Source organism: Homo sapiens, chromosome 3 (assembly GCF_000001405.40).
Source record: "Homo sapiens chromosome 3, GRCh38.p14 Primary Assembly".
NCBI lineage: Eukaryota > Metazoa > Chordata > Mammalia > Primates > Hominidae > Homo > Homo sapiens.
Genome location: NC_000003.12, coordinates 35,659,273 through 35,686,920, shown reverse-complemented (window position 1 = coordinate 35,686,920; position 27,648 = coordinate 35,659,273). Strand labels below are relative to the sequence as shown.

The window sequence follows — 27,648 nt, the reverse complement described above, 5'->3', positions numbered from 1 at the left end:
ATTTATTTTGCACTGAAAATAGATTATTTTGTATTAACTCACATATATCAGCAATTTGATTGATAGTATGTTCACTGTTTTGAAGAAGAATGAGCCAAATCATATTTTTCAGTTTTATGTAAAACCTATGCTATGATTAAAACTATGACAAATTAACCAACGTTAAGCCCACTTATTCTTATGTAAGAGATCATTTGATGGCAAAGCTTTCTTCCACTAGTGACATTAAAATTTATGATGTAGGAAAAAATAATCCCAATGACTAATAATGTCTCTCACTGAAAATTAAACTAATGCTCACACTACATGTGACTAAATTGATGCTTGTACCCTCTCAAATTTGGGATTCTTAATGGTTCTCAGTAAACCTGGCTAATCTAACAAGCATAAAGAAAAGTTCTCTGAAGCTAAGTTTCTTTTATGGAAGGGGCTCCACTGTGAACTCCCTGTTTCACTATGCTTATAATGTCACGCAATATAAATGATGAAATAAAACATACTTTCATCATAAATATCTTAGCTGAGTTTTCCAACTTCAACACATTTTTCCTGGGGATGTACATATATAAACTTTGTAAAACCTGAGTGTAATTTGATTATAGAGTCATTTATTGCAGTTTGGGACAGAAATGTCTTAATATGCAAAGGTTCAGGCAGGTTCTAGGGATAGGATTTGCTTCTACTTGCTAAAGAAATCACTGGGACATTTCTGGTCCAGAAGACGTGGCTGAGGTGGGGAAGATTCAGTTTGACAGTTAATCATCAAGGGAAACTGAGGGCTCCCAGGCCACGAAGGTCATCTCATTGCTTCTTCAAAACTGACTGAAACAACCAGCCTCTGTATGTATGAATCTAAAATCATAGAGGCTTGGACATATATTATAAATGCATGAGCAGAGGCTAAAGAATATCCACTATAAAAAAATGTACAAACTGATGCCATGTGTTGACAAATACTATACTCAGGAAAAAAAATATCTTTTCTATGCATATATATTACGGTGTTGAAAGAACACACAAAAGTGCTATAGAGTTGGTAAAAAACAATCTGTTATTTTTTAATATTTTTATTGATATGCTCAATAATAAAATACAAGTGTTAATAAATACATTGGTACAGGATAAGTTTATATCCAACAACAGTAAAAGAGTGATTCAAGTTGCAGTAATACACTGACAGGTAAATAGTATAACATTAGAAAAGCAAAATTCTTTTAACTTAAGGACAGACTGAACCATCAGGTATGGGTCTGAGATCAAGTAATACAGGTAGCAAGAGTTTTTCCCACACTGGAAAATGAAGGCAGTTTTCCAAATACTGTGAATTTACAAACATTGGGGAAGCGATACAATCCATATACTGTATACATCTGCCAGTGTTCTCTGGGATTCAGTCCGCACATTTTGTAAGTGCCGGTGGTACCTAATGAAGGCATTGCATATAAACTCAAAAGTCTGTTTCTTTATTCTCTAAAAAGGTAGCACGGCCACTTGCTTATATGTGTGTCTGGATGTTTTCTATCAACCCCCTGCTCCCACCACTCCTCAGCCAATCCAAAGAGAGGCTTGCAGGCTCTCATTCTCTCCTACAAAGCTAGTCTTGGTTTCTGAGCTTGGAACCAGCAGGAACAAAGCACCATTTACACCTTATTTCTCTGCACCAATTGTATGGATACACTAGACTTAGGTCCAGAGTGGGCACTGTGATACAGTTGATCCCTTAAAAAATTTCCTCCTGGTACCTTGTCAAATGGGACAAAAAGCAGATTAAGTCTATAAAGGCTGTCCTTCTCTGCCTGGCATTAGGAGTGGGGGACAACTGGGGCATTACTTCTCCCAGGGTCTGTCATTCTGCAGAGTTAACATATATTGTGTGCAGTACATTACAAGCCATCAATCAACATTTAATAATATAAGCCGTGATATTCACATTATTCTCCCTTTTCAATCTCCATTAAAAAGAGAAGCACAAATAAAATGCTGAAGGAAAGCCACACATTTCTCAGAGCCCAAGTAAAATAAAGCATGTGTACGAAACATAGTAATGGCCACTGAAAGATAGCCTGTCCATGCCTTATGACATGAGTGGCATGTAAAGAAAATGATGCTAGAAAAAAAAACACTCTCTTAGGACAAAATCTATTAGGAATTTATTTTTGGTCCTTTTAAAGAAAGTGCTCTCAATGCTCTCTGTTTCCATGAGGGGAATTCAGAGTATTTCAATTAAAGTAAGAGGAAAAAAGCAAAACCAAACCAAACAAAAATAATGATATCTTAATCAATTTTCCCTCCCCTGGGCTCAGGTAAACCATTTTACTTTTGTCTTGACTGCACCCAGCCTCTGATAAAATAAGTACAATTTCAGCAGCAAGACCATTTTTTATAAAAGCTAATATGATGCCTGAAAGGCAAACAAAAATAAGTATGATGTGAAGTTTCCCATTTTGTCATGAAATAATTTTGTTTAAATTTAAATTTTTATAACCTACTAATCTTGCTGTAAGGAGCAAAAATAAGGGTAAAAATATGCAGTGATATATTAATAATATTAACTTAAAGTCACCATCAGCTCAGATTCATTTCTGGACAACTTTTGCAGTATTGAGAAATCTCCACCAAAGCCATAAAAGTATTTCTCCAAAGTTAAATGCACCTTATTCACTATTTCCTAAGTTTCATATGAACCAGCAATTGTGTTTCTTATAGGCAAGTGCATTTTGGGGAGCTGAGAGGTAAGACATCTCCAACAAGGAAGGAGAGAGGATACTTGGGATTATATTTGGTTCAGCCTTATCAAAAGAGAGCCTTTGAGGAAAATTCAGCACTACTGTGCCTACTTTTTATTTAACTTTTAATCTAAATTCTTTTGAATTCCTTTCCATTTGCAGTTTTCAGAGAGTCTGGAAAAAAACAAATTTAATACTCTGTGACAAACCATTAAACTATTTTAGAATGTTGCATAAGCAGGGGATAAAGCCAAAAAATGAATTATTTTCTTCAATTATATTTTTCTCCCCCAAAACACTGTTTAACACCAAATTAAGAGTCATGCACACAAAGGTGGATCCCATTCATGCAATTAATGATAATGGCAAGGGGATATACCTGATCCTGAAGACTTTCACCTCCTGGTCTGGCAGAAGATTCCTCACAGACAGCAAGGCTGCGAGTCAGTTTACCTTTTCCTGCTCCTGACTAGGAGGGGGGAAAGAAAAGGGAAGGAAAGGAAAATAAAGAAAACAAACAGGAAGCATTCTCAGACTGCCAAATCATCTCCACATTTACATAACTTCCCCAAATGAGATTTTTAAAACCAAACTTCAAGTCTGCCAATCAGTACTGTCTACATTGGCTCAAAGCATCATACCTCTGTATTGATGGGGATAGAAGTAAAGAAGAATGTGAATAGATAAATTAAAAAAAATACTTTTAGTAAATTGTGTGCATCACATTGGGAACATAGGAAGAATGAATTGCTGTCATTTCATGAAAATATCAGGAGGAAAAAGTGATAAAATTAATTTTTACTAAAACTAAGTTTGCAGGAGATTTGACTGAGAAGATGGTTAAAAGGATGAAGAGTGTGTACTAAACAGTAGTATCTGTTTACTTCAAGGCAGAAATCAAGTAGTGAGAATAAAATTTCTACTCTAAATTTTATTTAAAATAAAAACAAAACAAATGGTCATTTGTTTTGTAAAATACTGTCAAATCTCTAAGTGTGAACACAAAACAAGTGGTCATTTGTTTTGTAAAGTACTGTCAAATCTCTTAAGTGTGAACACAGGATCAAATACATACATTTGCAGCTATTTGAACACTAAATCCTCTAACTAAAAAATATGCAGTGCCATAAAGTAAGACATGCATAAACATAACCCCATCAAAAACAGCCAGCACCAGTACAGCCGAGATGCCCCACAATATCTGGACACAATCATCTGAAATGCTGGCAAATCCTTTAACTCTGATGTAAAATATGTAATTTATACCCATGATATCAGGTCTACCTAGAATGTTAAGAACCCTACCTTGGATTTTCTTCTTTCTTGATTCTGAGCCTCCAGCCGCCTCTGTATGTTGGAAAGAAAATAAAACAAAATAAAATAAAACAAACAAAAACGAACAGTAAATCAACAACCGAGAGAGAGAGAGAAAGAAAGAGAGAAAAATGTCACTACCGGCTACAGTAGAGAAGTCAATAATAATAGCAACAGAACATCACAACCATTAGGGAGGACTCCTCCTTCCCTAGCTTTAAAAAACTTTTGACTAACTTTTAGCTCTTTTCTGTTTATAACAACTATTGGAAAGGGGACAAGGAAAAGCCAGCTTTGAAGTTTTTTGGCCATCATGCAGTTATCTGCCTTTGTTAACTGTTGGTATATAAAGAGTTAACACTTCTGTAGTTTAGTTAAAAGAAAATCAATACTTACAAGCTATTTGTAAGTGCAGTTTGCTTTCCTTCTACCGAATCTCTTTCCCTTGTAAATCATGATATGTTTCACAGCACTTTTTCATTTCCTTTAATCACTCCCAGTCTTTTTTCCTCCTTCAAGTACTCTCTCTTTGGCTGGGAATTCTAGGGTTTAGCTTGTTTGCTACTAAGATTTGAGCCTTAGCATGCCCATGAAAGTCAAAGGAACACCTGCCTTTGATTTTTCTTAGTTTACCATGAATTGAGTCTTCATCTTTCCACAGAATAGCAAATTCATTTTTAAAACTCAGCTAGTCTAAAGCTGCCTTGGGAGAAGCCCTCTATGTACACCTTGAGGTGTTCTGGAAATTGGTAAGGGGATGCTGTGTGCAAATTCAGAAAATAAATACTTTCCTATGACTTTTTTCCCCACAAAACACATTTTAGAGCACGGTTGGGTTAGGACAAAAAGTGACAAAAATTGAAAAAGTAGGAGACTAGCATTTCCTAATGATATAACCAGTGAAACTCTTTAAAAAATAAATCTCTAAAGTATTCTGAAAATAAAAGAAGGGAGCTGCACACAGTTGTATGAGAGTCAGGGTCTCTTCATGCTCACTCACCTGCAGTTCCAGTTTCTCCTCTTCATCCAGACTTTCTGATTTAACAATGCCGTTCTCTGGAGTGGCCGTCTCCTGCTCAGTCCCTCCTTCCTCTGCTATTGCCTGATTCAGGTCTCCTTGCTCAGACATTCTCCCAGATGCAAATTAAAATAACAAGATTTTATGCCCTAGAAGGTTAAGATATCAGAAAATAAAGTCAGTGCAAGGTATTTACTATCATTCTTTAGAGATTTCATTTCTCCTTTCATATTCAAATCCAAATGAGCAATTTTGAGAATTTTATACAAAAGGGGGAAAAAACAAGATGAAATCAAGTACCCAAGGCATGCACAAGAGGCAGATGCAGTTGTCCCATCCACACCCCCTTTACACACACTTGTGAATACACCTTGCCATCAAAATGGGTCGACAAATCTTAGAGACACATAACTCCCACACAACTACCAGTTCCCCATTCTCCACTACAGAGTAGAAGAAGCAACAAAAGAGGATATTTCTCCAACTTTTGAACAAATGACCCTCGACTTCTGACTCAAGATGTGGCATTGATGTTCTGCAGCATCTCTAAGATGACTGAAAAATTATTTGCAGGTTCCAAACATAGACATGCTTCCCTAGGTATAAAGAATACAGTAGTCTGCAAGGTCAAAAAAAACTATTGAAAAGGTAATAATTCAGCATAAATATGGTATCTAATTTTGGCAATAAACCTTTGAGGGTCAACATTTCCAGGCTTCGAACTGACAGCTACATTATTAAAAACATAAGCCCTCTCCCAAGCTCCCGAGCTCCCAAGCTCCTGTCAGTTGCTGGTGCGACAAGATCCTGTGGAAGGAAGTCTTTGGCAGGCAGCTCTAGTGAAGCTATCCCAACTAAATGCTACTTCTCCAGGCTCACAATAGTCTATAGACACTGGAAATGGCTTTTCAGAGTTAAAATCTGTTATTATTTTTTTCTCCCTACCTTTATAAAACCCCTGACACTTCCCCTTCTGATGTGCTGTCAAATGAGGCTCATGAATAATTTAGCATTTACTTCCTCCTCACTTTTTTAAGCTGTGAGAAAAATAGAAAGAAAAAAAAAGAAGAAAGAGAAGGAGGGAGGAGGAGGAAGGAAGAGGGGGAGAGAGAGAAGAAGAAAGTAAAAAGAAAGAAGAAGGAGAAGGAGAAGCAGAGAGAGGCGCTGTAGCTTAGAAAGTTAGTTCTTTTCAAAAAAATCCCAAGCAATAACTGTCCCATTCCCAGTCATTACAATGGTAATTATTACTAGACAAATAAGAGTTTTAATATGTTTCTTTGGGAGTATTCAATTACCATTTACTAATTCAGTAACTTTATTTCCAACTGAAAATAGGAAGTATGAGAAAAATACAAACCACAGAAATTTTGCTAAAATCTACCATGACAAAACAGATGGTATCTAATGATATCTTTAAAATACACAGGCTTATTCAGCAAAGGATTGTGGGAATGCAAAAGGAGGTTTTCCAAAAGGATGGTAGTTTGAGTCTGTAAAGTGACTAGTAAGCAATGCATTCAGGTTTTGGGAGGTTTTAGGATATTTCATCCAGTGCATTCTGACGGATTTCTTATATTTCAGTGGCACTCAGTATGCGTGGTTAACAAAATAAAAAGTTCCATTTTCCACTGGCAAACAGCTTGTTTCTCAGTGCATTGGATAGGGGACTTCTGTTGCCCTAACTTGTTTTTTAGAGTATTTAAGTAAAAAACAGAACATGACCAGATTTAAAATGGAGTGAACAAATTGAGCTCTAATTCTCCAAACTACAAGCCAAATGAGTCTCTGATACAGATCCTGTCATGGTTACATTCAGTGAACTGCTGGATGCAAGCAGGCACATTTATATAATAATAAATCTAAAATGCAGATGAGATGACAGCCAGACAACAAGACCTTTACCTTTGGTGCAGAATTCCTGCTGTAGGTCTTGGCGACTTACTAGCGGCTTCTGTCGTTCTACGCCAGGAAAATCCACACAAGTGATCAGAGACAACTGGAGTCCCATGTCCCCATTAACAGTTCGGAATGCCCATCTCCATGCGATTCCCTTACACAGTGTGACACATCGTCAACCTGAAAAAAGATGAAAAATAAATAATAATAATTGCAATAATCATGGTAGGGTGAAGGATGAAATAAATAAGACGGGGTTTCTAACACTAATGACCAGCTTCCAGCAAATCACGTTCACAGCTTGATCCAGCTCCACCTGTCTCAAGCTGCCTGCTTCTTCTCTAATGAAGGCTACAGCCGGCTGTTCAAGTCAGAACGGCACCCACGCAAGGAGCTAAAATTAACAATTGCATTATGCACCGAAGATTACTCACTTCAATTTTAACCTTTTTTAGTGAAATCTCGCACTTTGTATTAAAAAAAAAAAAAAGCTTGTGTGTTTGCCTCAATGAGGATCAGGATCACCTATGAGCAAAAGTCTTGCCTCTTTTTCTAACCAAAGCCTTTGTCTTAATTATAGATTACATTATACATTTTAATGCTGTTTATGTGGTTTCTCTCTTTATGAAAGCTACCTGAATAAAGTGTACAGAAAGGTTTTGATTTAATGAAACATTCTCTATAAAAGTTAAAAAAAAGAAGAAGAAAACTTTTATAATGGCATGGCTGAGAAAGCTCTTTTCTCTCTACTTATAGTTTGGGAAGAAGAATTCCTAATATTCTTGTTGCAGGGTGAACACAATCTATCCATAGCCCTCCCTCCCCATCGGGATTGCCACTGCCAGCTGGGCATTCTGTTTGACAGCAAAGAAACACTGACAGAGGGATTCAGCAGATTTGCAAACTTCAAGCCTGTTGAAAACAATCCACGCTATAATGTGCACTTTCTCTTTCTCACAACTCCTACAGGAGCAGCGGCAAAGACAGCTTGAATGCAAACACAGAGACGGGCTCCTAATAATATTTGCCCAAATCAGGCTGCATCTCTTCCTTTTCCCTATAACGCTATTCTGGTGCACAACGGCTAAATCCAACAGCATGCACACCTCTTCCAACACATACCTATCTATGAAAACACTAAATGCATCCCAGTTACGTAGTTTGAGAGTTAGAAACCCTCTCTCCCTCCTCCTTGCTACCCTCTTCTCCCAAGTTTAAATGAGCACAGCTGGTTCCTTACAGGATTTTACTGTGGCTATATTAATAACATATTGGGTTACAAAGCCATTTGTTGTGCAAGGGGAAAGCAACTGTTGAAAATGCAATCAGTAGTACAGTCAATAGTTTCTGGATTTATTCATGTTTTATGAAGATGGATGATTAGACTTTAAACTATGTTTCTTCCATTTTTGGAAATTATATGGCTTTTGAGAGCTAGACATGCATTTAGGAAAAAAGTGGATTGCTAATCAATAGTAATTTTAGTTTTTCAATTTTGATCAGTTTCACCATAGCTACTATAATACTCAATATTAAATAGAAATCATCGTGTCTTAAAAATTAGAAACTATTTAACTAAGAAGCCCATTATCTAATATGTCTTAGCATAAATGTCAGTGATGGTTACGAAAAGCATTCTGGATTCTGTTGTACTTTTTCCAAGTTGAATGAAGTTCTCAAGGATCACAGAAACTCTTTTGATTTCTCTTTAAGACCCTCATATTTGTACAGTTCACTCAGCAGGTGAACAGCAATGTAATTTCCAAAACTAAGTCTTAGATGCATTATTCCAGCCTCAGTAGGAGGATGCAAGATATAATTCTTTCCAGGAAGAGAGAAAGAACAAACTGATATTCACATAACTAACTCAAAGCAGGGACAGCCTGGATATATGTGTATGCGTAATTACCAGGACACGTTTTGAAATAGCACCGAGCTCTAAAGTCAGCGAGGTATTATTCTTGCATGCCTGAATCATAAAGTCATCATCTACCAAGATAAAAGAGAAAATGGGCATATGGGAATGAGCAGAGAGGAACATATGGATCACAAATATTTTTGTAACTGATTAAAATTGTTCTCTTTGCTGAGAAAGCAGTGCCAGGAAATCAACCCTACTTCAGCTTTCTGCTCACCAGACTAACCGGACTCTTCCACTGCCATTTCATTTTGATCTGTTTCAATTTCTTTCATTTTTGTAAATAACCCAAACTATTTTCAACAAATATCTTTTCTTCAACATTTGGTTAATAAATATTCTGGCCAAATTTCAACTGTTACAGTTTGAAGGATGGAAGGAGAAAGAAGAGACTATATATAAATGCACAAAATAAAAGTTACTATCTTTTTTTAGTGGAAATACTATTTTAAACATAATTTTATGGGTAGCATTTAGAGAAGGTTGTCAATAGTTTGCAAATTAAGCTACAGGAAATTAATCAACAATGCTGTAAACTATTTACCATGAAGAAAGCAAGTAAAATAATTGCTATATCACTTTATATTCACGCTGTTTCTTATTTCTTTAGTTTAGAGTTGAACACAGTAACAATTCAGGTTGTGGAGATGAGGAAGAAAGGTAGGGAGAACAAAGGCAAAATGCAAAGCACCACATATGATATGCTGTCTTTCATCATCACTATCAAAATAGATATGTCCTAAGTGTATGTGTGTGTGTCTGTGTGTGTGTGTGTATTACACATATTAATCACTGTGCTACCAATTGGGAAAGAAAGGTCAGATTTGATTCAAATTTCGGCAATAATTTAGTTCACCGATGAAAGGGAAATTAAAGGTAAATTTTTATCAATAAGTTGGGAGTGTCACTGTATTAGTCACTTTCTTCACAATATTTATGCTAAAAACAAGAGAAGGACGAATATTAACCCAAATTAGCAATGGGTACTTTATGATGAAACAACACAGTCAAGATTTACTTATTGAAATTGAAATGTTTTGCTTATATGCACTGCTTCTTCTTTTTAAGCTGGGCATGGTTCTGTAAATGAAAACCACTTGTATATTGGGGTGATGATTGATTTGTCAAATTGCCACATAGATATATAAATATTGCAATACTATATAAGCCAAGCATATAACCCATTCTCAAAACAATTATTCTGTTAAAGTTTAAGAAAGATTTTGAACCTTTAAAATTAAGTTTAAAGCAAGTAAAAAAAAGTCATTGGGATGTAATCATTTCAAAAATAAGAGCAACAACGCCATGAATAGAATGCACATACTAATATCTTTAGCAAGTCTGAAATTTTCCCAAGGTGATCAAAAATATCAATGAGAAATTTTCACATTAATTACACACCCAAAATGCAATCGTTCAATAGTGTATAAGAAACACTCAACCAGGAGCTTTACCCTTTAATTAAACTCAACCTCATGTGCAGGCATTCTGTTAGATTCTTGAGCCATCATGAAAATGCCAAAATTGCCAGAGAACCATTTTATTGGAAGAACAGAGGAGGACATTTAAGAAAATAAATTTTCTGGTTAAGATTTCAGGGAATATAAATGTTTTAATGAACATCCTTGTTTAAGCTTTAATCTAAGAGCCTGACATTTTATAAACATGTAGAAGGTTATATATAGGATCTCACATTTTCTTTTTTAAGTGTAGTAACCTGGATCAAACATAACCAAGATCAACATTTAGCAGAATGCCAAAAGTGGAAGGAACTGATGCCAAAGCTGTGCAAAGGAGTAGCACCATAATAATCATGAATGCCATTAAAACTAAGGAAAGTCTGTTGTCAATAAAAACATCTGAAGAAAGGCCTTGTGCCAGTGTTTTATTTCTTCACTTGTATAACAAGTCTTTACTGAGCTTCTACTATGAGCAAGAATGTTCTACATTGTGACATGTTATTCAGAGGAACTAACACAATCTCACATTTCAAAATCTTTTTTTCTTCCTGAATACAAATTAAAAAATAAGCAAATTAATATACACACCTACAGATCAAAGGCAGAAAATGATACTATAAGAGGGGAAATTGGAATTCTGCTTTACAAAATTTCCTCTGACATATTGATGACACATATGTATACAGACTAGTTCTGTGGATGTAACATTCCATGGTTAGTACTTGACTCACACCAGTACCTACTAAATGCTATCATCATCATCATCATCATCATCATCATCATCATCATCTTCATCTTAGCAGTACCTGGTGACATACATTGCTATTTATCTATCCAATGTGGACACGGCAAGAATAAAAAGGTTAGATAGAGAAAATGCAATGTTCAGAGAACACCTGCACCTCCACCAGAATCAATGCATGTACAGCCAATGTGCTTTCACCAACAAAGGGTAACAGACATCATATTTCACTGAAAAAGACAACTCTATAATTTTTTTCCCAAAGCTTACCCTGGATATGGTCCTGGAACAATACAAACATCAGGATGTCAATAATCTGAATGAGAGAGCTGGATGGAATGCAATAGCTGATGGGCAGCCTTGTCACAAGACTGGCCCAGTTTGTGCATATTTCTGCTACAGATAAGGAGGGTTTTTTTGACCAAAATCAATGTCACAGAGAAAGAAGCCAAAGGCTCTGCTCCCATGCTAGAAAATAAGCCAAGAATCCGACAGCATCAAGGTTAGTTTCAGTTTGAGTGTGTGACCATTGAGACCAGTCCAAAGATTTTTAAATGGCCTAAACTTCCATAACCCATACAGGCAAATCACCACCTTACATTTCCAACATCATTCTATTAAGAGTCTGGCATAATTTACCCACATGAAAGGTGGTGTCATCAACCTCCAGCATGATGCAAACTTTAAAAAAAAAATGCAAATTCCCAGAAAACCACAGAGCTGCAAAGGAGCTTGAAATTAGTTAGCCTAACTGACATTAAATTCAATGATTTGGACAAGATCTAGAACCAGACTTATCTACAAGCAGAGATGGTTCAGGAAACATAATCGTTTTGACTGGGTGTCAGAGCTCTTTTCAATAACCTGTGTTTCTCTAGTGATGGTTCTATTAGAAATATAGGGCAAGTTTACCTAATCTGTGCAATTAATTCCCAGTATGTCGCAAGAGAGACCCACACATTGTTTTTCACAGGACCGCTATCTTTTCTCCTTGTGAACGAGCCTACAAATACTGCACAGAAATGTCCTGAGCATATCATCTGATGATGGCATGTGTGTCTCTTTCTTGGTTTTATCCCCCAAATCACATGGACACATTTGGGTTTCTAAATATTATGCTCAGCTTCTCCTTTTGAAAATCCTTAAGGCCCATTTTTCATAGCTATCAGAATGCCATAAAGTTGTCTGAGATCTAGCTGCCCAATTTCCTCCTTCCACACCTATAACTCATAGTGCCCATCTTTCCAAAAGCCACATAGAAAATCACATGCCTGCATTATTCCCAGATAAAGTATACCCAGGTTTTGTAGGTAGGCATCATAATTTTTTAATGTGGAACAATTAATTACAATCCATATTGGTGCTGAAACACGGGTAACATTTCAAAAAAAAACATCTCCTTAATCTTCAAGCAAAAAGCCAGGATCTCAGACTTGAGCAATGGCCTCATGATTCCTTGTGTAACTGAAACAAATTTCACAGGTACTTAAATAATACTGTTGGGATCTTGTGGATAACGATACCATATAACTTTTCTAAGACAAAAATGTTCTTAATCTCAGTGAGTTACACACTTATCCTATATATTTCTCTCAGTATCACTGTTCTATGATCTCCTATATCAAGAAGTACTATTTCAGGGATGAAAACGTGAAATGATCCTCTGAAATGATGATACTCTTGTTTGGGCATTATTAATCTAACTGGTACTGGAAATTCTGCATTCTACATCCAGTTCAATTCAATTCAATAAAATATTTAAAAGTTTCTTCTTTATCTGGATGTCAAGAAAACAATTCATTATTTATTTTCAGTTATTTCTATTGGAGACACTCTCTAATGGAACAAGAATTTTTCATAAAATGCATATCTTCAATTCTGGTTTAAAGGGTTCAAAAACATACAATTCAACACAAAGAAAAAAGGCATTTTTTATAAATGGGGGAGAAATACTAATTTTAATAGTAATCATTATATCTGACATGAACTCTTTTCTTCTTCATTCCTCCAAGATGTGAAAGAAGCATCTGTCATTTCAAAAACAATGAAATAACAAATGTGATGCAGTTAGAGGTGCCAAAATGGGAGCTAAGTGTTTGAGTTATTAAAACCTTTCTCAAAGAAAGTTAAAAGGAAGAGACATTTAGGTAAAATGAATAAAAGCAAACAAAAATTGCTAAGTTGTTATTTTGTCTGATTTTTGAAATGTCCATAAAAGCCATGTTTACTCCTATATATACATTAGGGAAAATAAGATGTTTCCATTGCTATGACATCTTTGTTTTATGTCAATACTTTGTATTTGCTACCATAAATGACTATTTCATGCCTTAATATTGCCTTTTCAGATTTATTATTACCAAAATCATCACTCCCAAACCTTTTAAAAAGGAATCAACATAGAAGTTTAAATTGCCCATCTATGACCTCAGCTCCCTCCTTAACAGCAAAACGAATGAAAGGATTTTCTTTCTAGGGGCGCAAAAGAATGAAAGGGGGCAAGTCCTCAAAATTAAAAGGCAAAATGTGAGCATATAGAATCTGTGATCACAGAAGCTATGGTCACAGGAGGTGTACTCCACTTCCAAAAGGGAGGGACAGAGGGCAGAGAGAGATTAGCAGAAACGGATGTATGCTGCCATCCTAAGCATAGCTTGTGGAATTTCAGAAGACACAGGAACAAAGGGAGTTTCCAGTTATATAGGGCAGCTCTGAGCTATAGTTTTGTGTTAACATCTTAATAGCATTCTCTTTCTGCAAGATTCAACAACCACACCAATGAAACAACTACCTTTTATTGAGTACTACAGTGGTATTTTTTGACTGAGTTTTCTACGTAGATTATTACATCTATTAATAATTCTACATAGATTATTACATATATCATTACAACTACCTTTTACTGAGTACTACAGGGATAATTTTTGACTGAATTTTCTACACAGATTATTACATCTTATCCTCACATCAAATACATCTATTCATTGCTAGCCTACAGCAGGGAAGACAGCAAGCTGTCTGCCTGTCCTATATCTTTAGTGTTAAGTTGGCTGGCTGATGGCTCGTTCAATCACTGGATTCCCCAGGTCTCAGAAAAAGCAGATGAATCATTCTTTAACAAAGCTCAAAATTTGAACCAAGTAGTAAAAAAGATTCTCTTCCCACTATTATGTAAACTCCACAATCATGGGGATTTTTGCCTATTTTGTGTATCTCTATATTAACCCCAATACTAAGAATAGTGCCTGGCACATAGTAGGATTTGTTGACTCAGTGAATGAAAAGAGGCTTAAAGCCCTACCTGGATTCTAATCAGTAATGGCTATGTGACTTTGCTGTGTTTCTGCATCCTCCACCTAAAGGCCAAGATATCTAATCATGCAAAGACCTATGAAAACTAATGTGGCAATAAAGTTTTTTCTTAAACTAAACCAACAGCCACTAGAAGGTACCTGAAAGTAAAACCAGGACATGTTTCTGGAGGTTTGGATCTCATGAAGGTTTTGGTCTTGTTAAGCTCTGTGATAGTGGGTCTATCCATTCACAGAGAGCTAGGCATATTTATTGATCTCCTACTGTCCAGAATATTTTGTGGCCTTCTGGATAGGATACCGGGGAAAGGAAAGAGATGGTGCTTGCTAGGAAGCAGCTATGAAACTAATTACAGAAGTCAGCAGACAAAGGGATTTGAGAGCAAAGCAACTCAGAGGACTGAAGCATATAATATAAACACATATGACACTACTAACATTAAACTTAGGGTTTTCTCAATGTCTTCTTGAAAGCTAATTTTGAAAATCTATCTTAATGAAACTAAAGCATATAAGTAAGGAAAAACAGAGACAATGGAAAAGATATTCTCATTAAAGATAAAAGGAGAGTGCTGAACCTTTGAACTGATGATGCACATGTGGTTGAGTTTCTTCAGGCTCTTGGTGCTTTCTGAGTTTTTCTGAGAAAGTGATGGCATCATTAATTGCATGATTTATCATAATTAAACTGGCCAAACATCTAGGCCTTGCTTATATTGCTAGGTGACAAAAATACTAGATAAAGCAATGTCTTTCTCTCCTTTCTTCCACACTTGACTTCTTTCAGTATTGCATGAGGTTTCCTCTGAGTGCTTACTCTAACAGGGTCCTCATCGAACTGTCATTTTTCCCCTTAGGAGGAAGTGCCACACAGTTCAGGGGCAACGGTGTTCCTACTACAAAGTGGAAGATAATATATTCTCATCACATGTGCCTGCTCTGCCTCCTCTTAAATGCTAGGGTCTTTTGTTTTTTCTCCCTGTTTTGTTTCTTCCTTTCTCTACATTGCCCAATATAGTGTTACATAAAATTACATATTAACACCACTGAAAACAGTCATGAAAACAAAAAAGGGCTGTGTTGAGATCAACATATTTGCTAGAAAAAAATGTAAGTGTTCAAGAAATCATTCTTACTCTCCTCAGACTTTCTGAAAATAGGTCAACTTGAAATATAAAATAATTCATTTGACATTGGCATTTATTTTGGTAGCAACATTGTGTTGGAATTTTTCCTCACCACAGTTAAATATCTTTCAGTGTGTTTAAATGGAAAACGCAAGAGAATAACAACAAAACTACCTGAGAATGGGTGTGGATGTACTGCAGGAAAAGTGTCCATGTTCAGGACCTCAAGTGCTGAAGAGCGGGTTGCAGAAGTGTTTTTCATCTGATGTCTCTTTTCCTGGGAGACAAGGAAAGCAGCCAGGGGAGTGAAAGGAGCTATGTGCCTTTACAGAGACTCTGGTACAGCAAATGTATGGCATATGAAAATAAATATGCAAAAGAGTGTCTCAAAGCCTTTATTTCTAAGCTGTCAAGGATTTGACTTGTGTTTGGGGCCATGCTTTAAATACTAGCGTTTTGAATAAATGTTCCAGATGAAGAATGCCAGCACTAGACTCTAAGTTCCTTGGACAGAGAGGGCCCGCAGGCCAGTGTATCTTCCAACTGTTGTTTAGTGCAGAGCAGGAGCACTATCGATACCAGCTTGTTGAAAGGATAAATGAATACATTCCTGGGAGGAAAACATTTTCAGGAGCCTCACAACACATTGATGGAGCAGAATCTGCGTGTTTTTCTTTTTTTTCAATGTGTCCACAGCTTAGCCAGAAGGTACTTTCCCACTTAAACCATCTGAATTGGCGTGTGTTTGTTTGTGGCAGGCAGCACTCAGGCTCTGGGTCCATCTGTGGCAATGCTGATCGGACTCCAGATGCCCTGCTTTGAAAATAACTGAAAGAGATCATGTGGTTGGTCATCTGTAAGAGAAGGGCTGCAGTTTGAGTTTGGCCGACCTATCATCATTCAATGTGAGAATTACGATCACAGGAGCATGCTCTACCTAAAAAGCCTGATATGACCCGATGATGTCAACCTCCTCATATCCCCTGCCTGCTGTAAGACTGACTTTATCTGATATTCCTTTTTTTTTCCTTTTTAAACAAAACATTCTTGTTTGAAGGAGAAGTGAGAGAGTTGAATGTAACTACATTCAAGACTAAAAGCATTTTCAGGTGAACATCTGCATGATGGACTCTCCTAATTGGGTGTTCCCTGCACAAACCTGACAATAAGACCCTTCAATCCTAGCAAGCCAGAGTCAAAGAAAATGGGTGTTTGCTTTTTGTAATGTTCATGTTTCAAAATATTTAATACTTTTCAATGATCTTATAAAAATAAATGCTGGTATAATCTCTGTGAATTATTAGAACCTGCTATCATTACCTGTTACTAAAGAAAGAGGAAAAAGCAGATTCTCAAACTATACTAAATGAAGGACCTGGCAGAAACTATTGATATTTTGGAGGGTCACAGTCAATCTGAACTCAGATGATGACAGACATTGGTGTGTGGTCCCAGGGCTGAATGGTCCATGCAGTACTGAAGAAAAACGGTTAAACTGTGCTCAGAAACTCCCTGGGGAGTCCTGTTGATGAAGTTGAAGATTTGGGGATTTTATTTATGGATTCTACAATGCCTAAGCTAAGTGCCTGGAAGGGGTAATTAGCTTTGTACATGGTTGTGATGGGCACACAAAATAGTCTTAAAGTGTACTTTACAGACACTTCAATAGAAGAAAACTGTTGGTACACCTAGTGCAAATTGACACTTCAGAAAGAAAGATGTGAAGTTAACCCACCCACTTGGGTGTCTGTAATGTGTAACCTTGCACTTGAAAAGAAAATGTGATGTGGCATTCCTATGACAAATGGAACAATCTGATCCCTGAAATGGAGGCTGAAAATCTGGCATTACACAAAAGAACGGAAACATAAGAAAGTGTGGTTTTGAACGTTTAAAAGAGTGTACATCCAAACTATGGATGTGGAAATTGCTAGGATAAAATTATCCAAAAAAGAATCAAATTTACAATTTGATATATCACAGAAATGAACTATCTGTCAATCTTATGTAATATAAAATACTCAGCTTCTGAGCTGTGGGCTTATTTGTGAAACCTTCAAGATTTTAAAGTAGATAAGAAAGGAGAAGCCAGTAGTTGCATTTGTAACATATAGCAAGGTACTTTCAGAAGTGGAATCTTTTTGTTGAGTAGTCTCCTTAATAAAGTCTAAGGCCTAATATTTGGGAAAAATCTTATGTAGTGGGAGAAATTATTACCTTTCTTTGCTCATAATTATAATTAGGAAGGAAAGAAGGAGGGAAGGAAGGAAAGAAGGAAAGAAGGAAGACCCAACTGTCAAAAACTCTCCTGCAAATATATGAAAGTAGAATATGAAATATTTGGAGGAATGTATTAATATGATGAAGGCTGCAGCAAAAATAAATGTAAAACTGTGAAAACAAAAGGGGTCATTTATTCTTTATTGCTAGCACCTAGCAGAGAGGACTGTTCATAATTATAGTTAAGTATTATATTAAGAATAGCATTTCCCCGTATTTGATAAAGTCTGCTAAATAGAAAAATGTGTTCTATGCCTCAAAGATTACATATTTTCAGTGGAAATAAGATATAAAGAAAGTAAAGAACAAAATGAGATCCTGTTGCATCTCAAAACATGCATGATGACGAGAGAAGTAACTTGAATCTCCAAGTACCAAAGAAGTCTAAGCATATTTACATAAATGACTACTTTTAGTCAGTCTCACAAGGCATTATTAGTATCATAATTTTAAATATTTATGTGTGTGCATAGATAATTTGTGTAATTTGAATCTTGGCAATTTGCAAATGTAAAAACGGCAGATCCCAGGTATCTAAAATCCTGTGTGGTTCAAAACTATCCTCATATCCTGGTAGACTTCGTTTTCAGTTTTGGGAGCACTAGCTCTCTGCTGGCAACTCTGTGGCCTGACCACTCATATGGGGCTTGGGCATACTCCCAGATGCCAATTCCAGATTAGGCCATGATTGCTCTACACTTCAGAGACTCCAGCAGGAGCAAGGAGAAGATAGCATGCCAGCCAGTGGACTACATTGGCTATTTGCTCTACTGGCAATCCACTAGGCTCACCAAGATGCCACACTTAAGGTGATGCTGCAAAACTGAAAAGAAATGCTGCCCATCCAAATACTAAAAATGCTCTGTTTTTTAGGTTTCCATTTTATTTTAATTTATTAAAAAATATACACTTCCAAAAATTTACACTTCTATATTTAGGAATACTCTTCCCCCAAAATGGATAAGAACAAAGTCAGAGATGATACTTTACCATGAATAGTAGCAAGAAATTTCTGAGGGAGGGACATTGTGAATTTCCTGAGAGGGAAATTTGTGTTCTCACTTACTTTATGACTTTCTTCTTTCTTCTTCTTCTCCTTCTTCTTCTTCTTCTTCTTCTTCTTCTTCTTCTTCTTCTTCTTCTTCTTCTTCTTCTTCTTCTTCTTCTTCTTCTTCTTCTTTTCTTCTTCTCCTTCTCCTCCTCCTCCTCCTCCTCCTTCCTCTTCCTCTTCCTCTTCCTCTTCTTCTTCTTCTTCTTCTTCTTCTTCTTCTTCTTCTTCTTCTTCTTTGAGAATAAAAGTACTGCAGGTGATCTTCAAGACTTACTGACTTCCAAAGTGCAGTATTTTGGAGTGATACTGCATCAATACCATTGCAAAATTTCATTATAAATTAACTTGTCATGCATTATGATCCAATTTAAGACTAGATTACATTTCCTTTTAATTAACTAGAAGGACTCTTACATATCTTTTTCTCTTCTTTTAATCTAGCACCTCTTTCAAATATATTAAGAAGTGATTGAAGCTACAAATAGAGTCCAACTTCCAAGAGTCAATGCAAAAAGATTACTGCTTCTTTGAGAAGAATCTGAAAGTGACTTAACCCTCTCTCACATAAGTTATTTTAAAATGAGGAATATTGTACTAAAACATCTAGTAGAATGCTTGGAATTCAATAATAACTTGATGAATTAGTTATTTAATGAATTAATACATAAATTTAACTAGTCATGAGATTATGACACGTAATCACAATGCAAAATGACTGTGGTTTCATTCTTAAATTAGTTTACCATTATCATTATCACTACCACAAATCAGATTGCTAAATAAAACTAGTTTTGCTATGATACAGTTTGAGATTTTGAATAAAACTTAAGTTAAATGTTAATATAAATAGTATCAATTTAAAACAATTTAAATATACTTATTGGAGACTCACTCTGTGCCTGACAGTATTTTGATTAAAGAATGTAGGATAATAGGACTAGCCCTTAAAGAGTCACATTTTAGAGTGGAGGAAGCTGAGTCATAGATACATTAAGCATATCAAATATTTCACTCTAGGGGTGAGGCAGAGCCTAAATTCTGACAGATTGGTTCTGGGACTTCAATTTTATCCATACGCTTTTGAAATGAGTGAGGATAATAGTTACTACATGACTGGCAATAAATACTGAAGGCATGCCATAGTGATGCCAGTGGCAATTCAGGTGGGTAGAACCACAGGGGATAGTTGAGGTTGCATGTTTATTCTAACCTTTCCAAATCTCAAAAAAACCTGTTTAATTTTATATTTGGAAAAAGTAAACATAAAGACTGAGAAGAGATAGAAAATAATGAATTAATTTGGATGCCTGTTTGCAGTGTTAATCACACTGTAAAGCATGTTTGTGGTTGAAATATAATTACCCATTTAATCAAAAAATAGAAAAGTAAAGATAATGGAAAAATTGTTAATAAAGCTAAAATTAAGAAGAAGTACATTTAATAAAATGTGCAATAAAAGGAATTTAGTCTATAAAAATGTATGTTTGAAATTAATGTCAAAGACAAACTAAAATAAAAACCCTACACCTACACACAACCAAATAATTTAACAAAAATTTTAAAACTAGTTGAATAATGCCAAAAGAATGTCAAGATTAATTAAATAGACATTTAAATTATCATAAAATATGTTTTGTGCTTGGAATAAATGTCAAAATCAAAACAACTCAAAATCACTGAAAACAAAGTCAAGAATAATTTTGCAATATGACTTGGGCTAAAATTTCTTAAGAATTCAGGGATATTTTTGTGTGGAGCCACTGATTGGAATATTTTGTTCTAAGCTTGCTTCCCTCTACAAGAAACCAGTAAAAAATTTTCAGAAAAAAATAGCAGTTTGTGGGAATACCCTATAACTCCATTTAAAGAAATTAAATTCCCTTCTGCTTGGTAGGTTTAGATTCAGGGAAGGGTGTATAAGTGACAACATCGGTATTCATTTGTATCATTCTCAGTATATACTATTTATTAATCTCCTTGACTGAGTATCCCCCAAGTAGGTTTGCCACTTTTAATCAGCTCCTACTTCCAACCACTATTCTTTGAACCGTAAGGTTGGAGTTGAGGTTCTGAGGATATGGGCACAGCCCAGTTGAGCCATCATACAGTGAGCAATGATCTGGGTGTTTTAGAAACCACAACAATGCACACATTCTATCACGTTTCCTTTAAAAAACCATTAATGAGCAGGATACATTTTACTGCCTTCCACATATTGTGCATACACTAACTAAATACCTTGATGAGAACAAGCATTACAACGATGACTGGAGTACAGCCCTGCCCTCTAGGAGACTCCAGGGGGAAGTTGTATTAACTTTTTACAAAATGGAATAGGGTTCATTAAGTAGCTCTTCATCTGCAGCTGTGCTTTTGAAAATGAGGATGGTTTCATGAACAAATGCAATATTTACCCAGAGGATTCTTTTCTTGTTTCTCAAATATAGGAAATGACTAAATCCTGAATGTTTGATATAACCTCTTACCTCCAAATGAATGTTTTCACTATACAAAACAACTCAGTGTTAAAGTCATTTGAAAAGACCTATTAACTACTTCAATGTAGAACTAGATACATGGATGTATGTGTGTGGTATCTAAGTACACATTTTGATTCTGCAGATATTTTTAGAGTGTCCATGTATAGCACTTTGCTCAGAACTTTCCACTTACTTTAAATTTTTACTTCAAAAACAAGCTCTCATAATTTCATGAGAGTTTTATGATCTTGTTATCATATTAAAAAAAGCTTAGGCCGCTTATGATCTTGTTATCATATTAAAAAAAAAAGCTTAGGCCAAGGGCAATGCTGTTGTCCTTTATATTTATCTACATAAAGGCCACATAAAGCCTAAGACTCTGTTCTTCTTCTAGTCCTGTATTCTTTCCAAGTTGCTTTTGTGCATATGTAGACAGACATAAATATAAACCAAGACACACTTATATTAAACTCATGTATTCTGAGTTAGGGTGGTCCACTCAGCTTTTAACTTTTAAAATCATTCCTTTAAGATCTGCAAATTCATTGGCCTCCAAAGGAGCGAAAAGTTTGTTTCTTTCAGTGACCTAACATTTTTCATGTAATTCGAATGTTGGAGAAGTCTCACTTGAATTAGGTTACACACACACAAAATAGCAGGTGGGCTAAGTCACTCAGAGTATGCAAGTGACACTCCTCTGAAGCCCCTCCCTGAATGCCAGATCAGGCCACATAGCAGCCTGGAGTCGGTTCCAGCTCAGAGAACAGAGCAGCAGCTGCTGGGAGTTGGCAGCAGACCAAGTCTCAGCTGTATTCTTGGCCTTCTGCCTCCTCCAGGCACTTACCAGGGGCGCATGACCAAGGAAACAGCTGAGCCCCCACCTCAAAGAGGAAACGCAACCGCCACAGCCCCCGCCGCCACCTGCTCCGGAGCCAAACAACCAACAAATTCCTGCTCAATTCGAAGGGATAAAGCGGACTGCTGATTCACTCCTAGGAACGCCCGGGCTGTTTCCACTGAGGATAGAGGCATAGCTTAACAGGAATGGGACGTCATCGTGAACGCTCTGGCAGAGCCACCTGGGGACTTGAAGTTGCAGGGTATCAGAAATGATAGAATAGCAGTTACCAGAGTCTAGGGATCGTGGGAGGGATGATGGAGAGAGTCTGGTCAACAGGTACAAAGTTACACTCAGGAGGAAAAAGTTCTGTTCTAGAAATTGCTCTATAGGGTAACTACAGTTAACAATATTGTATTGCATATTTCCAAATAGCGAGAAGAGAGGATTTTTAATGTTCTCACCACAAAGAAATGACAAATATTTGAGGTGATGGATATGCTAATTACTCTGATTCGATCATTACACAATGAATACATGTGTTGAAATACCACATTATACCCCATAAATATGTACGTGTCAATTAAAAACAAAATCAAACTTTAAAAAATAGTTTAGGTGTTCAAGTCACAGGGTTCTATTAAGATTTCAAACATTGCTTTAGATATTGTCTGCAAGCTTTTTTGAAGATACTCCTTTCTTAAACAGAAATTTTGATTTTCGCTTTATAGTGGGCTGAAAATTTGCCAAGAACACGGACGACTGGACAGTTCACTTTCATTTGCAACAATTTCCAAGAGGACCCTCGGTTACACAGCATAATTACAAAACTAAAGCAAACATGTTAAATGCCCTGCACCTTTTTTGAGATGCCAAGTATGGCCTTCTTGGGTGCCATGAAGCATTAAGATAGCCTCAGGCATCAGCACACATTCCAGGTCCAAATCCAATTCCCACGGCCCAGCAGGCAAGCTGGGACAGTGGAAATGCGAGTATATGGCCCAGCATTACTCCGGAGGACTGTGGGGGTGAGCGTGCCACTTCCCAGAACCGTGGCTCTGACAGCTTCAACTGCACTCACGTCAGTGCTATTAAGAGATGTTCCTACCTTCAAACATTGTGAAATCTCACCCCGCTCCGAGGACACATCCCTCCAGATCTGTCTCCGATCAACACGGGAGGCTGTGCTTTGTGCTATTAAAAATTTCTCTGGAACAAGAAGGGCAAAATGCTGATGCTTCATGATGCATACATGGGGGTTTGTTACACAATTATCTCCATTTTGTGCACATTTAAAAAATTTCCATAATAAAAAGTTCAAAGTATAAAAATTTGTCTGGGGATTAAATCATTGTCAGATGCAAGAACTATGCGCCCAGACTGGGCTTCAGTCCAGGTGGGAGAGACTCTGATTTGTAGGTGATTGATTGTTATTTCCAAGGAGAATGTTAGGGGTTTAAAAACCGTATAGATCACAGCTTTTTTGAAAAAACTGACCCAAATCCAGTGAAGCCTTTTCTCCCTAGCAGCAATACACAATTTTTATTCAATTCTGGGGTAAGCATTTAGATACGTCTGCTCTAGGCATCATGAAGTTTCTGTTGTTATTTTTTTTTAATTTGTACAAATTTATAGGGTACATGAGAAATGCTACAACATGCATACAATACATAGTGATAAAGTCAGAGTATTTAGGGTGTCCATCGCCTGAGTACAGTATCTTTTTGTTAAATATAGTCACCCTACTCTGTTATCAAACATTGAATCTATTCCTTCTATCTTGCTGTATGTTTGTACCCTTTAATCAACTTCTCTTCATCCTTTCTTCCCTATGCCACTCACCCTTCCCAGCCTCTGTTATCTATCTTTTTACTCTCTGTCTCCATGTGATCAAAATTTTTAGCTCCCAGATACAAGTGAGAATATGCAATCTTTGTTAATTTTTTTTACCCTTCTGGTAGATTTCACTTGGTGGGCACAATTCTCCCTTCAAGGTCTTGTTGCCTCTTGTTGAACTGTCTCTGCTGCAGAGAGCTGCACTACCTCAAGCACACTCTTTCCTAGAATAATCCATATCCAATAATTCAATAAATGATCAAGAGGGTACTAGAAGCCCTGAGATCTCAACCCTTTGTGGGACTCTCTGAAGGTCATTCCAGTGGCAGAGCTTTCTGCAGGATCAGCAGAGGCTGTCCTCATCCTCTGGCCTGAACTGCAGCTCACCTTCTCTCTCTGCCCAGTCCTGCTCCCCTCCCTGTCCCTCTGTGGGGTTGGTCCCAAGAACTCTCCTTAGTAAACATCCTGCACACTTAACTCTATCTCAGAGTATGCTTTCCAGAAACCTACCTGCAACATCACAGGACATCCTTTCAGAAGGGTTGAAAATGCTTTGCAGTAGTGATAAAACCCAGGTTAACAATCACCATTTTGCTTTAAGCCATTGTTAGCTCCTCTTAATCACCTCTCTAATACCTGGCACCTCATCACTGCTCCAAATCTTGCAATATTTATAAAAGTATTAAAACTACATACAGTACGCACATGTATGCCAATTGGTACTGCTAAGTTGGTTTATATGGGACCACATATTTAATGCTTAAAAATAAACCACACACACTATGATTCTTTCCAATGGTGTGAATTATCTTCTACACCTGAAATCTCATCCTATTTTGACCTTTAACTCTCAGAGGCCACTATAATGCTACATAATTCTCTAATCTCAAATCCAAAGTATGTCTACTTGTGAACACCTCCGAAAATTATATCCTCAAACTTAATTTTAAAATCACCAATAGCTAACACCAGGCCTGACACATAATAGGCATTCAAGATACTATGATTACAAATTAGTTAGTGCCCATGAAGTGTTTCAAAACTTTTACAAAGTATCTCATTTATTACCTCACAACCAGAAACAGGTATGTCACTGTCTCCTTTATACACATGGAACAACTAAAATTCAGTAAGGTCAAGGAACTTGCCCAAGGTAACACAATAAATACAAAGGCATCCACTGTGCCTCATTCTCTCTCCAGGAAATATGTATTATTGTTGCCTACAAAAGTACTCTTTTGAGAGATGAGGCAGGACATAAAAAGGTCAATGAGAATTGAATACTGTTGATTTTTTGAATTTTATAGCCGGTCATAAGAAATTTATAAGTGTTCTGATTTCTTTATGCTGTATTTATTTTCAAGTTTCTATACTCCATGCAGAGAATGTATACTAGCAGTTCAAAGATTCTAATAAAGGAGCTGCCTAAATAATTATAGCAGCAACTAACACTTACAGCATGTTTCTATGTGCTGAGCAGTATTCCATGACTTTTACTGGTAAAGACTGACAGAGTCACTTTATCTCTTTTCCTCTTTTTGTCCCATTGTTTGCCATTTCTCCTTGTGGATATGCCTGGAGGAGGTGAAGTTTTAACAGCACAAATTCACCATTCTCACGATATAGCTCAATAACTGATTTTCATACTATGACAATGAATCAATGAGAGAATATTAAATTATATTCTGTATTTGATGTTTTACAAGGCTGAGATTTGTATTTAAATTGGTCAAAGTAAAGCACTCGCTCTCCTGGAGGGTCCAGTTTCAATTGTACAGGTAATCCATGTGTATGTGATCATGTGTGTAATTAGGCCTTGTTATGCCAGTGAAGTTGATAAACTATTATTTACCCAGCTCCTACTAGGTGTAAAAAAGTCTGCTAAAAATTGTGAGATGCAAAGATAGATTTAGCCCTGTACCTGCCTTTAAGAAATTTATAATCTGCTAAAAACAAGGAGTTACTCAATTTAGCTTTCCAACTACATATTTTCTTTGTTTTTCAGTAAGTATGCTAAGCAGTGACTTCCAAATGAGTCATTATAGGATTGTTCACTAATTTTCAAGATAAAGGGTTAAATTAGACTAATTCATTATTTAGGGAAAAAAACCCACAACTATCTCCCATCCAGTAAGATAAAGAGAGTAGTACCCCACAAAAAAGAATAGAAGCATTTACTCAAAATCCTCAGTCAAAAGTTAGTCATTCTCCTTACTGATAAATACCCATCAAGAATCTGATAATTATCCCCCAAGAAGTGAACTTTGAGAATGAAGTTAGTCATTATCTTAACCTCTTGTTACACACACTTGAGAGTTAGAAGCAACTTTCCTCTGTCTTTCCTTGAGAGTTCAAGTATTGCTCTCCTTTTCCAGACCTTTCTCCAAGGATGGCACAGAAGAGATTTCGAGGGCAAAGACTATAGCCAATAGCAAGGATAGTTTGAAGGGGCAAAAAGTGAGGTGCACTTTTATGGTGTATGTGCGGATAAGGGGGTGGAAGCAGAGTAAGAGTTTGGCCTGCTCACATCTGGAAGGATGGGGCCCAGAGGCAGAAGCTGAGGCTAAGAACAAATTCAAAGAAATGCAGGAGAGCAAGAGGTCCTCTGGTGGCTGGGCCGATCATTTATAGATACCATCTTGTGTTTTATTCAGAATTGGGAATAGACCAGCCCCCTGTGTTCTCCTGGAGGAAATGGAAAGAACCATGTAAATGCAGATATTTAAAAGATTTTTCAGTAATTTAGAAGTGATACCTCATGATTATTTATTAAACCACCTCTTGCTTTGCTCTATGTCAAAAAGGGGAAAGAAGTCAAGGTCCAAAAGCTGAGAATCCCTGAGAAGGATGCCAGGAAGGCTTGTCAGGGCTAGAACATTGATCTGTCCCTTGGCAAAGCCTCTCATGCTCTCCCTATGCCAGCAGATGGTGCAATGCACACCTGTGACTCTTGTCATAAAACAGCTCTCTGATGTTTTTATTACAAGAACTTATGTGACTCTTTACACACCCAGGTGTCATTGTGGACCAATGTCTTTTGACTGAGCTGCTCCTGAACAATACAGTGCTTTTGGTATAAAACAGGAAGCCCCTCCATCAGTCAGAACAACACACCAGCCACCTTTATTCTCTAAAGGTTTTCTCCTTTTGAGAAACTCATCTTACAACATGTGATGAATTACTGCTTTAAACTTGTATATTAACCAACAAAATGAGATTCAACCCTTTACTAACAAATCTCCTAGCTCTCTACCGCCCACTTTTCATGATCTGTTCCTCCTCTGTGTTCACCTTGATGTCTCTATCAGGCTACACACCTGCACTCCAGCACTTATCCTAGGGCCTTGAAATGATATGAGAGTCAGGCTGTAAGTTCACCAAGGGCAGGGATTGTGCTTTGTTTATCTCTGGGTCTCTAGGACCCGCCAAGATGTCTAGAATACAATAGGAAATGAATGCATGTTTCTAAAAATGTAAATGTCTTCTATAAATGTCTTCTAATCATCTAAACCCAGAAAGGTGTATTAATTTTTCAATTGCTTAAAATATTAACTATTTATATTATATTCATATTATCATATTTTAAAATGTGTTTTGAAGGCATAAATTTAACCAAAAAATCTGAGCTTGTGTGCTGTGTCTACATGAAGA

The 27,648-nt window shown here is 36.7% G+C and overlaps 1 protein-coding gene across 79 annotated transcripts in view; it reads right to left on the bottom strand.

Moving 5' to 3' along the window:
• ARPP21 (cAMP regulated phosphoprotein 21) overlaps nt 1–27,648 on the bottom strand; it is a 155,634-nt gene that overhangs the window by 107,566 nt on the left and 20,420 nt on the right. For 45 of the 79 annotated variants that reach the window (NR_170705.1, NR_169632.1, NR_169633.1 and 42 more), the window contains exons 2-5: nt 6,961–7,134; nt 5,041–5,207; nt 4,032–4,073; nt 3,106–3,195 (exon numbers count right to left, since the gene is read on the bottom strand). Coding sequence is in view for 69 of the 79 variants with exons in the window: in NM_001385490.1 (NP_001372419.1) it covers nt 3,106–3,195; nt 4,032–4,073; nt 5,041–5,169 (261 nt within the window). In the remaining 10 variants the exon portion in view is untranslated. Of the gene's footprint in view, nt 1–1,033; nt 2,901–3,105; nt 3,196–4,031; nt 4,074–5,040; nt 5,208–5,358; nt 5,427–5,750; nt 5,982–6,003; nt 6,096–6,960; nt 7,298–7,388; nt 7,634–15,686; nt 15,790–27,648 lie in introns of those variants that run through there. The other 34 variants (XM_011533301.4, NM_001385592.1, NM_001385591.1 and 31 more) reach the window with 15 other exon arrangements.